Below are 15268 nucleotides of genomic sequence, written 5' to 3'. Positions count from 1 at the left end.
AGCTCTGGAACAAAAATGAGCCAGGACTCCTGCAGACCAGAGAGCTAGGCGCCCCTCACCAGCCCCAGCACCCAACAAGCACACTCATGTAATAGCTGCTGCATTCAGAAAGGACACCAGAGAAAAGATGATCCCATCCCCAGAAAGAACAACTGAGACATAGAAAGATCCTGGGTCCAGGCAGTGAGGGAGCCCGAGGAAGGAACGGGCGGCCGGCCTCCGCCTGGCCTTCAGCTCTCAGGGTGACTAACACTGGACGCAGGTGGTCTTCCTCATCCTCCTGGTGGCCACTGCGGCTCTTCCTGCATCCGACCTGCAGAAAGGTCTCACGTCATCCTCCTCCTCAGTTTAGGTACACCACACCCTGGGAGGCGTTTCAAATCACCCGCCGTGTTTTCTCTCCCTATTTTCCAGCCCTGAACTGTAACCCTTGGGCCCTTGATTGGAAAACATTCATTCTTGCTCTGGGACTCCACCCCTGAAAATTTAGTAGGCAGAGACTTTGCCTGAAAACGGGATGGCACCTTAAATGTACATCAGAGACACTGTTTCCTGAGCTCCCGGAGAACTCCTCGGCCCACCGGCAAGTGTGTGGGCTCTGGGCAGACCCCTGCCTCATGAGGTGGGTGTAGACTCCGGGTAAGGGTCTTGACGCTGCACCTGACACAATCCCACTAACACAGGCAAAATGACCGGGGCAGAGCCTCTAAAGGCTCCGAGAGGTTCCACCAAAACATGACCCGAAATTCTCCACAATCCTGTGACCCCAAATCCAAAAGAAGGGCTCAAACTACAGACAAACGGCCCCTGTCCAAGGCCTTCCCGACCCGACCCTAGCCCCTATCCAAAGGCCTCCCCGGCCCGACCCCACCCCTACGGCTCCTACCCAAAGGCCTTCCTGACCTGACCCCAGCCCCTGTGACACGCCTGTCCTGCCAGTACAGATACCAAGATACTGATCTGCCGAAGACCTCAGGGCCACCAACAAAATTATTCTCCCTTACTTCCTAGGGGTACTGAACCGAAACACAACTTTGCTGTCCATTCTTCCCAAAGCCACGTGCTTCATGGTGGTGGGTGTTCACGCTGCCCCTCCAGGGCTGCCGCTAGACCAGGAGAGTGAGCATGTTTTGCCCTCAATGGGGAGGACAATGATGAACTTGGACAGTCACGCCCTGGGGGTCACTGAAGTCTCCTCCTGCTTTTTCCAGGTCCTCATTAAGACTTAGAAGACCTAAATCTCCCTAGCGATTCAGTTCTGACACATCGTGGTGACGCCCTCTTTGTTCAGAGACGAGGAAGTCTGTGGAGGACCCCACCTACCTGCAGCCTTAGTGGACTCTGTCGAGAATCCCGGCCTAACATCCCACTTCACAACTGAAGCTGGAGGTGATCAGGCAGGGCCTGTGCTGCAGAACCGGACCAAGTTCATCCACTGAAACCCTGACCCTCCGTGTGATTGTGTTTAGAGATGGGGCTTTACAGAGGTAACTAAGGTAAAATGGGGTCCCTACAGTAGACCCTAATGTAATCTGACTGGTGTCCTTGTAAGAGGAGACAAGGAACTGACACACACAGAGGGGTGACTCTGTGAGGACCCAGGAAGAAGACGGCATCTGCAAGCCAAAGAGAGAGGCCTCAGAGGAACCGGCCCTGATGGCACCTCCATCTGAGACTTCCAGCCTCCTGGACTGTGAGAGAACCAGCGTCTGCCGTGTAAGCCACGCAGTCATGGCATTTTGCAATGGCAGCCCAAGCAGGCTGGGACAGTGTGCTGCCGCTGACCTGGCTCTCTCCTTCGGCACAGTCCTCTGTGGTGCAGAAAGTCTGCCAGATGCAGAACTCATCACACTTGCCAGCACTTGTCAACTAACCAAGGGCCCATGGCGGTGGATGCTCTGGAAACAGAGGGGCTTTTAGCTCTGCTGGAAGCCCACCCTACGTGGGCCGGGTGCTGAGTTCTTGGGCACACTTCTTCCTAGAGAGGTGGTGACTGCAGATGCGAGGCCAGTGCAGACGGAGATGCGGTCGTTGGAGGAGGTGCTCTGGGGGGTCATTCTGCCCAACTAGTGCTTTAGCCACAGCTTGACTCCAGCTAAGCCTCGAAGTTTGGATCTCTGGAGGCAAGCCAAGAGGCCATTGTAAGATTTCAACACTTCGCCCCTGATTTTGAAAAGGAAGAATGGACAAATTCTGAAAATTCTGGTTGTATCCTTTACTCAATCTCTGGTGCTCTCAGCTGGCTGTGGTACCAGATGATTTCAAACAGATATTCGCTAAGTCAATCCATGAAACTACTCATCATGCTGTAGACAAATTGATGAATATCTCCAGTCAACACTGGTGGGAAAGCTTTACAAAGACTGGATGAATATCTCCAGTCAACACTGGTGGGAAGCTTTACAAAGACTGCTGAGGTTCTTTTAAGGCCAGGTATCCGTCACCAGCACAATCGTGACATGGTGTGAGGGTGAGACACGGCCCCAGAGCGACGACTCAAGGGCCCTCTGAGCACCTTCAGGTAGATTTTAACCAGTGTTCACTTGGGACTGGAAATACTTTCGCTGTTATGTGTGTGTTTTCAGGATGGGCTGAAGCACTTCCTTGTTTAAAAGCTACGGTCCTTAAAGTTGCCAAAAAATTCCTTGATTTTGCATTTCCAACCTGAAGCATACCAACTTTTACATGAAGTGATTGAGAAATACATTTTACACAAACCATTATAACAGAACTCTCTGAGTAGTTACCCCTTACTCAAGAACAACACTGTCCTGACCATCCACAGTCTTCTGGAAAAACCGAAGGACCAAAAGATGAAAACTCCAAATCCCTCGAGCTTCCTGAGCATCCACAGTCTTCTGGAAAAACCAAAGGACCAAAAGATGAAAACTCCAAATCCCTCGAGCTTCCTGAGCATCCACAGTCTTCTGGAAAAACCGAAGGACCAAAAGATGAAAACTGTCCGAATCCCTCGAGCTTCCTTGGCCATACAGTCTGCGCGCTTGGAGACATCTCAGCTCTTCCTCCATGGACTGATGACTGGAAGGCTTGTACCTTTAGGAATTCCTGATACTCGACTCTGCCCTGCTGCGGCAGAGATGACAAATGACTGTAGAGGACTCAGCACAGCCCTACATAACCTACGTAATAGCGTAGGTTACGGCTGCTTCCCATGACATCTTCCCAAACATCCTCCTTAGGACCTTCAACCAGGAGATTTTGTCTACTGGAAGGGACGTCAGAGAAAATCTGTTTCTCTAAACTCATTGCAAGGGGTCTTACAAGTATTGCTAACAAATCCAGCAGTGAAACTCCAAGGAATCAGTCCTTGGTTTCACATTTCACAGCCAAAGCAGCGATTCAGAATTCCACACAACTAGAAAAAGACTCCCACACAGGACCTCAAACTGAGGTTCTCTGAGATCCTCTAGAGGCAGCCATTCTTCAGAAACAGACGGCTGATCTCAGACCTTCCTGCAAGATGAAGACCTTGGACAAGGGACAATGTCTGCTCAGATGTCCTGACAAGACCTCTGTCTGATTTGTTTCATTTTTCATCTGCTTATATATAATCATTCTCCCTCTTATTCTCCATGGACCCCTGGTTGTCATCCACCTCTGTTGATGGTCCCTTTTCTATTTTCTTTTCACTTTATGATAATTGTTATGTTAGCACATATTCGTTCTAGTGCCATTCTTGATTATCCCAAACAGTAACCACTGCCCTCACTCTCACTGACCACTGGACACACCGCCCACCACCAGGCCCCAGGGATGCACATCTCTAGACATGCCAGTCTCATCAAATGGGACCCTGGGGAATGACAGCTGATGGTCTTTCTGCTTGCATCTACGTGGACAACTGACTCTAAACAAATTGCCTGTGACTTTGCTAGCGTCCCTTTCTCCTAGAAAAGCAACCAATTATTAAAGTTTACTGATCGGTCCCTAGGTCATTCAAAACTTAAATTCAGCAACCTGCATGGGGCAACTGGCCACGAAACCCTGGCCACGAGGGAGAAACTAAAACAGGTCCCAACTGAAGCTGGAGGACACAGGCCTTGGTTCCAACCTCTTGTCCTGAGCAACAGCCCTTCCCCAGTCTCCATATGCCTCCACCAGACACTGCTTCCTTGGGACCAGTCACCAGGCCCTGCTGGCCTCAGATGAATACCTCAGACATCTTAGGAATGGTATCCTGAGACTTCTCTGTGTACAAAGACCCTAATTCTATAATCTCCACAGCTGGAAATTCTGACTCAAACTCGAGTTCCAAAACGAGGCCACCTGTGATTATTTGTGTACTCGTGGAAGGGATGACTGAGTGTCCCCCACAGTGGGAATCACACAGGCAGAAAGTGCGGTCAGAAACCCATCGCCAACTCCAGCAGAAGTTATTCGGGACACCGCCTGCCCTGGGTGGAAGACGTGTTGGCACAAGCAGCGGTGGGTGATTGCTTTTCTCCAGTTTCTTGCTGGCCAGCCATGCTGGCGTCTGTGCCACTGCACATGTTACCTGCAGAGCGAAGGTCCCAGGAGCGGGCTGCCCAGCACCCTAAGGAGCGGCTATGAGACTCTCCAAGGCTGGTCCTCATGGCTATGGGATGTGTCCTCTTGCCTTGGGTTGGGTAACGGCGCTCTTGGTCTCACCACCATCCGGGGACTGGGTTGTTCTTGTTTCTGTTTTGGTGTCATGATGCTGGTCTGCTGTATTCCATCAGTCTCCCATCAGACAACGGCCAGGATGACTCAGCAACAGAAAGATCCAGAGGACCCTGCAGCACAGCTGACCAAAAAGGCAACTAAACCATCCCCAAGCGGCGTGACCTGGCTCTCTAGCCTTTCCTGAACTGTCTATCCTCTTGCAAATGAGAGAGTGGCTTAAAGGGGAAACTAAGAGACAACCTACAGACAGTGGCCAGGCCACCTACGATAGGGGAACACTGGCCCCAGTGTCTGCAGCGTCCAGCCTTGGAGGCCAGGCCACCTACGATAGGGGAACACTGGCCCCAGTGTCTGCAGTGTCCAGCCTTGGAGGCCAGGCCACAGGCTCTGCTGCAGTCGGCTCTGGGCAGTCAGCTTCCCTCATGTGCATCCCCAGTTCCAACTCAGGACCCACTGGAAAAGGCCTCGCACACTCCTCCAACCAGTCACATGGGATGCCCCACTTCTAGCCCTACTGCTGGCCCCAGGGCACATCTCTCCTCTTCTCTCCCACTCCCAAGCTCCCCCTCCTGCCTGCCTTTGAGTCTCTGCCAAGCACAGAAGATGGCGCCGACCCCCACCATGGCCAGCTTTGGATAATAAAGAGCCTCTGCCCATTCTCCCTTGGAGGGGTCTTTGTTTATTCCCACAAAGTGCACCTCATTACTTAATGGTCACTCCTCAAAGACACTAAATGCATCTCTAACTTCCAGCAATTTCAAGAAAATTAGAAACACATAAAGACATTAAAATTTCATTCAATGACAGAATACACAGAAGTGCTGCTCTCTCCCCCTCGCTCTCTCTCTGTCTCTGTCTCTCTCTCTTTCTGTCTCTCTCTCTCTCATCTCTCTCTCTCTGTCTTCCTCTCTCTCTCTCATCTCTCTGTCTCTCTCTGTCTTCCTCTCTCTCTCTGTCTCTCTCTCTGTCTCTGTCTCATATCCACTATCACGGATGGCCTCTACCTTTACCGTCCGTATCTCAGCAAGGCTACATCAGCTGTCACGGGGGCCCCAGAGGCATGGTGCTGTGTGGCTGAGGACCAGGGCTGTGCCAGCCAGGGCTTCATCGAGAGCCATGTGGCAGAGCTGGCTGGAGGCTGGAGGTGCTGGTGTGGCCCAAGGGTCAGCCAGGCTGCACGCCCCAGGGGAAGGGTGGGGTGTTCTGAGGCCGTGCTCGGTGCCCCAGGGCAGGGTCTGGGGAAGCTGAGGGAGGTGGACCTAAGGCATACAGCCGGGAGTAGCTGGCTTCAGAAGGATGGAGAGACACTGGCCCCTGACTGGGTGAACCAGAGCTGCGGAGAGGCCCTGGGAGGCAAAGGAGGTGAGCGTAGTTATGGGGTTGCCTGGGCGGGCTGGGGCATCCCCTAGTCCAGGTGTAGGGGAGAGGACCCAGGGAGCCAGCTGGGACCAGGCCTGCCCCCGCCAGGCTGGCAGAGGTGCCTGGGGTGCAGGTTACCTCCTCAAACTTGTATGCGATCATGGCAAAGGCCTTGAAGATGGCGTCTGTGGGGCCTGTGATGGTCACAATCCTCTCTGGGCAGTTTCCCTCTGAGATGTTGATCCTTGCACCACTCTAAGGTGAGAGCAGAGAAACCCCAGCGACCTGATTAAAACCCTTGGGCCAGTGGGTCGGGGGCCGCAAGTCCGTTGACAATTGACACAAACACATGCCTCTGTCCGCTGACGGAAACCATGAATGAACAGTAAAATGCTTCTCAACAATCTCCTTTACAATGAAATTTTAACTAGCAAAAGGAATCCAACAGATTCCTTCCCCACAGGGGAGCACAGGAGGCCTGAGTAGGGGAAAAGAGGCCCCGCACTGCACTCCCCACACACCCCGGCTGGCCAAGAGCACAGGCAGGACGTCGGCAGGGGCAGAGCCTGGGGACCCACCCCGCCCACCCGGGAATGGCTGCGGACAGGTGGGGACCCACCACACTCACCTCCTCACGCATCTTCTTCACAGTTTCTCCTTTCTGGAATAAAGATTTAGACAATAAGGAAAAGGTATCCCTCTGGCTCTGAGGACGGCGCGGCCCATGGTGGGTGGGGAGCAGCCTGGCCCATACGCCCACACAGCAGAGCCTCCTGCCTGTGCTGGAGGAGCAAACCAGCCTCTCCACTAAGAAGGCCAGGCTCCATGCCCACCACACCCTGGCAGACATTTCAGATGGGAAACTGAGGCCCAGGAATGCAAGTGCACCCACCTACAGGCACACAGCTGGCAAGGGTGGCGCAGGTCTGACCTGACTCCCCATGGCAGCTCACTCATGGCACATGGCAGTGTGCGTGCCCTCAGGCGCCCCGCATTGCCGGCTACACTCTGGCTCAGCCTCCCGGAGGTGGTGACTCTCAGAGACGCGCCCTCTCAAGCGTTTGGGAGGAAGCCGGGACAATGAGCTACTAGAGGCGCCCCCATGGTGGGACTGAGGGGAAGGACCCCCGGAAGCGGTGAAAATGTGATGAAGACAGGGAGGTGGCCCTCACTGCTCGGCCTCCCGGGGCAGCAGGCTTCCAAACTGGGCCTTACTTCCCCCGGGCCAGCCCTGATTTGGAAAGGAATTGTCTGGGGGCTGCTGCCTCCACTGGCACTCCTGGAGACCACCCAGACTACACAGCCGGCTGAAGAAGGCGTGAGAAATCATTCTTCGTGGGGTCTTCAACCGGGAAAGAAGGACTGGCCACCAAGGCCACGGGCAGGGGGCAGCGAGGTGACCAGCTGGAGTGAACCCCTTCCCCTCAGGCCACGCAGAGCCAGGGACCAGCTTCAATGTCATACAGCATAAAGGCGACACCTCTGGGGTCCTGTCTTCATGGAACACAGACCACCCACCAACTGGGAAAGGCGCACCTACTGGGTGCCACCTAGTACCCAGGGAGGCTGCCATCCTCACCATCCCCTTACAGAGACCCCAGGAGAGGCAGAGATTCAATCAATAATTACCTTCCCGATGATGCTTCCAACTTCCTGCAAGAAAAAAAAAATCACAGAAAGATGATGTCATAGAGCAGGAGGAGGAAAACACTGGAGGCAGACACTACCGAAACCTGCCTACCTTCCCGGTATGAGTGCAGAAGGGACCTTCCCGGTGTGCATGAAGAAGGGAGAATTCAGAATCTGCTGGTGGGGAGGGGTGTGTGTACAAGCCAGGCTGCCCATACAGAGGCCCTGAGCCGGGTCTTCCTTGGCGCCCACCTGACCAGGACAGAGATGGGCTGACTGTAAGTGCCCCGGGGGAGGGCAGCTGGCTGCCCCTGATAAATAACTCAGGGGGCATCACCCATGCACTCAGGCTACCAGGAAACTCTGGAAGAAATGTGTGAAAAATAAAGCCTCCTTCAATTGTGTGACTTAAAGAAAACTTAGCACTGCAATTGCTCCGTGACTCCTATTCCAACGGCAGCCTGTTAAAAGGAACGCTGGAAGATGCTGCCACAGTTCTGATGGCGAGCCCAAGGCAGTTTCGGGACACACGTTCCCCGCTGGGCTGAGTGGCCCAGTATCTCCCTGTCCAGCAGCGGGACAGAGCTGACAGGTGCTACTGTGGCCTGTCACCTGAAGCGGGGCCAGCAATGGTGACGTCGGTGAGGCTGTGAGGACGGCATGCAGAGGGGCCCGTGGAGGGAGAGGGAGGCCGTGAGGACGGCGTGCAGAGGGGTCTGTGGAAAAAGAGGAAGGCTGTGAGGACGGCGTGCAGAGGGGCCCGTGGAGAGAGAGGGAGGCCGTGAGGACGGCGTGCAGAGGGGCCCGTGGAGAGAGAGGGAGGCCGTGAGGACGGCATGCAGAGGGGCCCGTGGAGGCAGAGGGAGGCCGTGAGGACGGCGTGCAGAGGGGCCCGTGGAGGCAGAGGGAGGCCGTGAGGACGGCGTGCAGAGGGGCCCGTGGAGGGAGAGGGAGGCTGTGAGGACGGTGTGCAGAGGGGCCCGTGGAGGGAGAGGGAGGCCGTGAGGACGGTGTGTAGAGGGGCCCGTGGAGGGAGAGGGAGGCTGTGAGGATGGCGTGTAGAGGGAGGCTGGGAGGACAGTGTGTAGAGGGGTCCGTGGAGGGAGAGGGAGGCCGTCAGGATGGCGAGCAGAGGGGTCTGTGGAAGGAGAGGGAGACCATGAGGATGGTGTGCAGAGGGAGGCTGTGAGGACGGTGTGCAGAGGGAGGCTGTGAGGACGGTGTGCAGAGGGAGGCTGTGAGGACGGTGTGCAGAGGGAGACCATGAGGATGGTGTGCAGAGGGAGGCTGTGAGGACGGTGTGCAGAGGGAGACTGTGAGGACGGTGTGCAGAGGGGCCCGTGGAGGGAGGAGGACACTGGACACAGGGAGGGGCCCCCGTCAATCATGGCACCTCCCCCACAGAGTGCAGCTGGGTGGCATGGCCGCTGCTGCTGGAGATGGGGCCGTGCACCTGGCCTCACAGAGAGCCCCATTTACCATGCGCCTTGGCTCCTGACACCCACAGTTGGAGAGGCAGGTCCCTCTGTCTCCACTGCAGGAATGAATGCTCTGGGTGTGGGCACCACCACCTTCCCCTGGGGAGGAGGCCGTGTCTTCCCGGAAATCTAGGATGTGCCAGTGCTGTGGGGCTAGAGCTCAGAGCCTCCGGCAGCCTCCTCCCGGCGGGAGGCCACGCACAGATACTGGCAGTTGGATTCCTCGTGGTGCACACCTGAGGCAGGAAGAACTGGGGGACCCTGTGCTGTGGGGCTGGAACTGGGGTTCCATATAGGGAGCTGAACATGGAAGGAAGTGTTCTGCAGGGGTGCAGCCCAGGACCCACAGCAGCTCGGGACCCACAGCAGCCCAGGACCCACAGCAGCCCAGGAGCACCATGCATCCTGGCTTCCAGAACATGCCACCACACACAGGAGCTGCTGGGGCAGTGGCTGGTTCCAGGACTGGGACAAGGAAGACAAGATGAGCAAAGAGCAGGATGGGGCTATAGGAACAGGGACTCGTCGGGCCTTGGGGTTCTGGCCAAAGCAGGGGCAGCGAGGGCATCGGAGCAAATCACGTGGTCATGGAAGGAAAAGCCGGGGAACAACATAGCAACCTGACTCCCAGAGGATAGAAACACATGCTCTGAAAGTCTGAGGACAGGTTCCTGGGAGCGGCTGACAGGCACACCCCGGGACAGAGCTGCTGCCACGTTCCTGCCAACGGCCAGGAGACCTAGACCAAGGCATGGGTGCTCCACACACGCTGTGCAGAAAGTGCCGACTGCACAGTCAAAGCCGACGACCTACTCCAGGTGGAAGGGACTTGAGACAGGGGACCAGGGGATGCTTTGCGGCCGCTGTGAAGGGAGGCCAGTGGTGGGAACGCATCCGTGTGGGTGCCCTGACACTGATGGCTGTGTGTGGTTGTGCTGGAGAAGGTCCCTGTTTGTAGGAAACACGCAGAAGATATCAGGTTGGCACTGTCTCAAAGGGGCTGTACCTATAACTGCCTTGTAAGTTTGAGATTGCTTAAAATAAGATTAAAAAATGATCCAATGACCCAGGCAGTGTCAGGTTCTGCGTGCCATGTCCGCCTTTCCTACAGAGACAATGGCCCGGGCAGTGCATCTCCGGTTCTATGTGCCATGTCCGCCTTTCCTACAGAGACAATGGCCCGGGCAGTGCATCTCCGGTTCTATGTGCCATGTCCGCCTTTCCTACAGAGACAATGGCCCAGGCAGTGCATCTCCGGTTCTATGTGCCGCGGCCGCCTTTCCTACAGAGACAATGGCCCGGGCAGTGCATCTCTGGTTCTATGTGCCATGTCTGCCTTTCCTACAGAGACAATGGCCCAGGCAGTGCGTCTCCGGTTCTATGTGCCATGTCTGCCTTTCCTACAGAGACAATGGCCCGGGCAGTGCATCTCTGGTTCTATGTGCCGCGGCCGCCTTTCCTACAGTGCCAATGGCCCGGGCAGTGCATCTCCGGTTCTATGTGCCATGTCTGCCTTTCCTACAGAGACAATGGCCCGGGCAGTGCGTCTCCAGTTCTATGTGCCGCGGCCGCCTTTCCTACAGAGACAATGGCCCGGGCAGTGCATCTCCGGTTCTATGTGCCATGTCTGCCTTTCCTACAGAGACAATGGCCCGGGCAGTGCATCTCCGGTTCTATGTGCCATGTCTGCCTTTCCTACAGTGCCAATGGCCCGGGCAGTGCATCTCTGGTTCTGTCTGCCGCGGCCGCCTTTCCTACAGAGACAATGGCGGCTCCTCTTACCTTTCCATGCATCAGCAGGCGGATGGTGAGGGTCACATTCAGGCCACCTTCTGAGACCTTGGACTCCATCCTTCTGCCAAATTGTGGCTGAGGGTGGTGGCTTAAGGTGCTGAGGGTGCTGTGAGGAAGGACAGATGGGGCCCAGAAGGCGTCACCTGGAGAGAGAAGGCACAGCTGCTGCTAGAGAAGAGTCTCACGGACCACGCACATCCAGGGGTGTCCTGGGCCGCTCCCACTCCGGCCTCCCGGGTGGCAGGAGAATGGGGTTGCCCACCCACCATGTGCTGACCAGGCCTCGCCTGCTGGGCACAGGGTGCACGGGAGTTCAGGGGAGGGCCTTGGGAGAGGTCTCCAGGGAGGCCCCACGGCTGCCTCCCTCCTGACGCTGGGCAGGCCACCGCAGCCCCTGGCCGAGGTCTGCATCTGCCCAGGGTCACGGAAGCACCTCTCTCAGCAGCCGGAGACTGGCAGGAGCTACCCCTGTGAGGCCCAGGGGACTTGCAGCTCACAGGCCCAGCGCCCTGGGGCTTTGCCCCCTGCTTCTGCTGTGGCCTCAACACACAGTCACGGGGTGCCAGAGTCCCCTGACCAGGGTGTGGGAGCCGGCCCTTCACGTCCCAAGCCTGCCATCCTCATCCCCTCATGCTCTCATATGACTTAGTCTCCATCAACCAAGCTGCCAAACGGCTGGTGTCCTTGGCAGTTCTCGGCAAGTGCCTTCCAAGCACACAGTGCTGTCTGCAGTCATCGTGTCACTACTGTGTGCCATCATTCAGTGAGTTGACGGAGCCCACTGGGCAAAATTAAGGCCTCATTTTATGACTGACCAGCAAAGAATGATGGTAGTGGAAGTGAGGGACTCGTGCAACAGTCAGGGTGACTTTGTGTGGCACGGTGGGGACCCTGCTCCGAGGTACTGGGCTCTGCAGAGTCAGCCTCATCCCGAGTCCTTCCCTGAAGGGCAACACCTCACCGAGGGGGCTGGCTCGTAAAACCCACCAGGAACAGAAACCTGTGAAGCTGCACCCCCCACCATAATCGAGCTGCCTGGACACTGCCCTTTGATTCAACCGGTTCACACAGAAGAGGCGGCTATGGGTTAAAAGTCAGGGCAGAGGGCTTTTTTCTCAATAAAATAGTTCTGTTAAAAGAATATGCTAAAAGAAAAACACAAAGATAACACAGACGTAAAGCCCGTTCCAACTGCCTTTGTGGTGTGTAAGGAGGATCTACAAAGAGCAGCCACAGGTGTCAGGGGGTGGACGGGAGCCACAGCCAGGGATGCACCTCTGCACTGACAAAGTGACACGCTGTCTACACCCGCGCTTACGCTGTCTACACCTGTGCTTAAAAACACATGTATAGGTCACTTCATCAACACACTCAGACTATCACAAAATTATTGTAATTTTATTACAAATTGTTATCTGTAATAGTATTTGTATTAATTTGTAATTTTATTACATTATTATTTGTAATAAAATGACACTTTGAAGGACAAGGATTTTCACGTTGCATTTAAGGAGGACTTCACGTAGCACAAAGGGCTCCGAAGATCACCCTTGCATAAGAATGCTCTCGCTGCACTGTGCAGCAGGACAGCCACATGTGCCTTTTTCAGTTTAAAACTAAACATCCACAAGCACATTTAAAGTGCCAAACAGCCTCGTGTGGGCGGCGGCAGCTACTGGGGGAAAAGCACAGAGAGAGGCCATTTCTGGCAGCGCGGACAGCTCTGCTGGACAGCACAGCTCACACCATTGCTTCAGTGACTCATTCTAAGTAGTGCATTCGTGTAGACAGATCTCAGAAAGGAGAGCAGAGTATCAGTTCAAATGCATGGCGTGGCCCCTGAGAAGCACCTCTGTGTGCACATGGGCACCCTGAGATAAGCCTGGCTGTACCCTTTCACCTGTGGGTGCCGACGGACCCGCACACATGGACTGCATCTCGGTGTGGCTGGTCTGGAGCTCTGTGCCTCCCTTTTAATTAAAAACTCTCCTCCCCATCAGAGGGACAGCAGGGCCCTGCAGCCATCTGTTATGTCAAGGTTTCCAGCCCAGGGAAGGGAAAGTGGGTCAGCTCCTGCCAGGGGTGCTTGGGGCTCCAGGCTGTCAGCCTCTATCAGTCACACAGGCCAGCGAGCTGCAGCCTGTGCCTCTCTTCATTGCAAGGGCAGCATGAGTGAGAGGCCATCCTGTGCCGTGCGGGTCACCTGGGACTCAGTGCCCAGAGCCCCAGAGGACCTACCCTGCTCCAGTCAGCAGCTCCCAGAGCTGCAGACCACTCGGAAGGCCAGGGTGGACGAGGCATCAACCACTCTCTGGCTCTCCCTAGGCACCTACCCGTCCATGCCGTCTGCAAAGTGCCCTGGCCTTGCTGCCACCTCTGCGGCTGCTGCTGTCCTTCCCAGCTAACACTGGCCATCTGCCCAGTGTCCATGGGGCAGCTCAGTGGCTACCAGGAAATGAAGGGCTGAAGTAGAGCCTGCAGCAGCCCATGCTCGGACCACTGGCATCCAAGGCCCCATGGGACTGGCCGTTTCTCAGAATGGAGCCCGTTCTGAGGCTTGCCCGCCCCTCCCCACACTGTGTTCCAGAAACAGGCAGAGCTCTGGTCCATCCAGGTCCCTCCCTCTGTCCCGTCCAGTGCTGGAGATTTAGCACATTTTAGCCCATGCAATGGGACAGGGAGAAGGGACAGGCACAGTCATCCGTGAGGGCCTGGGTCCCCACCCACCTCATCCCCACCCCCCGTCTGCACCCGGGGCCCTCACCTGCCTCCCCACTGTCTGCACTTGCCCAGGGGGTCTGTGGACCACCATCTGCAGATGTGCCTCAGGCCAGAACACACTCTGCACCCCAGCTCCCAGGGGATGCAGCCTACAGCTGTGGCCACGGGGATTTCAGACACCCACATCTGACATATGTGACCAGCACGACTCCTGACCCACCCCATCCCATGCATTAACAAGCCCAGCAGCCCCACCCACCATGTGAGGCACAATCTGAGCTTTTCTGCATCCTCTTCCACCCCCACTGCCCCCAGCTCCTGCCCCACCCTCCAGCCCCTGCTGTGACAGGTGCCAGGGATGCCTCCAACCAGCAACACAGAGCCCCCTCCCTCCTCCCCACTCCCTCCCTGCTCAAGACAACTCTCCACATCCCATTCTCTCAGAGTTTAGTCTAAGGCCTCATCCATCACCCCACAACTGCCATAGGCCCTGAGGGTAAAAGCCCCCGGCACTTCTCCTCCCTAGAGACTCCCCTCTCTGCCCGGGCCTAGAACACCCTCCTTCCTGCACTCAGTCCTCGCTCCATCATGGTCCCTCCTCATGGGGCTTCCCTGTTATTATCGGCTCCCCTCTCCAGGACTCCCTCCCCTCTCCAGCACTCCCTCCCCTCCCCAGGACTCCCTCCCCTCTCCAGAGTTCCCTGCGCTGATTTCCAGCTCACACAGTGGCCCTGACGCACAGCCATGGAAGTAGAGAGGGTCCTGGCACCCACAGTGGAGACGGTCACTAAGATGGGGAGACCCAGGTGGATGGAGTGAAGGTGCCCTGAGGACACACAGGTTGAAGGGAGCTGAGCTTGGGGCCTGGGGGTGGGGACAGTCCATGCATAGACCTGGGGTGCAGATCTCCTCACGGAGGACACAGGGCCAGTGCTGGGAGCCCAATTTAGCCACAGCCTTGGGGTCAGCCCTGGCAGTGCCAGCCTCAGCTGCAGAGACTCATCCAAGGCCCTGTGGGTTGGCTGGACCTGCCGCACAGACCATGCCTGCTTCCCCTCCTCCCAGGTGTGAACATGAACACGGTCTGGTACATGAAGCCCCGCGAGAGACGGGACTGCGCCCTCCACGCCCCGTGAGAGACGGGACCGCCCCCCCCCCCACGCCCCGTCAGAGACGGGACTGCGCCCCTCACGTGCACTTGCAGCTCCCCTTTCTCAGGCCAGGGACTAATGCACTCTGTTTCCTTGTTCTGCACGATGACTGGAGGGAATTAACCAATGCCAGGGGCAGAAACCTCCTGCCTTCTTAGTTCATGACCCTTGTAGAGGAACTTCCCCTTTGTCCTGATAAGCAAGGACCAGAAGACAGGAAACGGTGACTGCCGCACCCTCTGACAGGTTAAATGCACCCTTCCCTGAAGCAGGCACTGCCCGTCGTCCATCAAACGCTGTGACAGCGCCCACCTCGTAGGAAGGACGCCGCGGTCCTGCTAAAAGCCTCCGCCTCTGCCTGCCCGAGGGCACCCTTCCCCTCCCTACTCCCGAGGGTGGACTCCATTTCTCTGGAGCTGGTGTTTCTGGGTGGGCCAGCCTCCAGCTGCCTTTGAATAAACCCCCCTTACA

The 15268-nt window shown here is 56.4% G+C and overlaps 1 protein-coding gene across 26 annotated transcripts in view, besides 3 other annotated features; it reads right to left on the bottom strand.

The window, feature by feature from the left end:
• Positions 1-15268, bottom strand: part of PCBP3 (poly(rC) binding protein 3) — a 298726-nt gene that overhangs the window by 35175 nt on the left and 248283 nt on the right. For all 26 annotated transcript variants that reach the window (NR_145492.2, NR_189734.1, NR_145493.2 and 23 more), the window contains 4 exon segments: positions 10914-11068; positions 7654-7677; positions 6653-6685; positions 6163-6279 (listed from right to left, as the gene is read on the bottom strand). Coding sequence is in view for 23 of the 26 variants with exons in the window: in NM_001382284.1 (NP_001369213.1) it covers positions 6163-6279; positions 6653-6685; positions 7654-7677; positions 10914-11068 (329 nt within the window). In the remaining 3 variants the exon portion in view is untranslated.
• Positions 8441-8941: an enhancer, noted in NCBI's record as "H3K4me1 hESC enhancer chr21:47318249-47318749 (GRCh37/hg19 assembly coordinates)". NCBI's record gives its function as "activates a minimal SCP1, AML or CMV promoter by ChIP-STARR-seq in primed H9 embryonic stem cells {active_cell/tissue: H9 hESC(primed)}" and the evidence as "EXISTENCE:reporter gene assay evidence [ECO:0000049][PMID:30033119]".
• Positions 8942-9442: an enhancer, noted in NCBI's record as "H3K4me1 hESC enhancer chr21:47317748-47318248 (GRCh37/hg19 assembly coordinates)". NCBI's record gives its function as "activates a minimal SCP1, AML or CMV promoter by ChIP-STARR-seq in primed H9 embryonic stem cells {active_cell/tissue: H9 hESC(primed)}" and the evidence as "EXISTENCE:reporter gene assay evidence [ECO:0000049][PMID:30033119]".
• Positions 14408-15129: an enhancer, noted in NCBI's record as "H3K4me1 hESC enhancer chr21:47312061-47312782 (GRCh37/hg19 assembly coordinates)". NCBI's record gives its function as "activates a minimal SCP1, AML or CMV promoter by ChIP-STARR-seq in naive H9 embryonic stem cells {active_cell/tissue: H9 hESC(naive)}" and the evidence as "EXISTENCE:reporter gene assay evidence [ECO:0000049][PMID:30033119]".

The sequence above is a fragment of the Homo sapiens genome, chromosome 21, assembly GCF_000001405.40.
Source record: "Homo sapiens chromosome 21, GRCh38.p14 Primary Assembly".
NCBI classification, from domain to species: Eukaryota; Metazoa; Chordata; class Mammalia; order Primates; family Hominidae; genus Homo; species Homo sapiens.
Note: the sequence above shows the minus strand (reverse complement) of the source record. Positions and strands in the feature narration are given on the sequence as shown.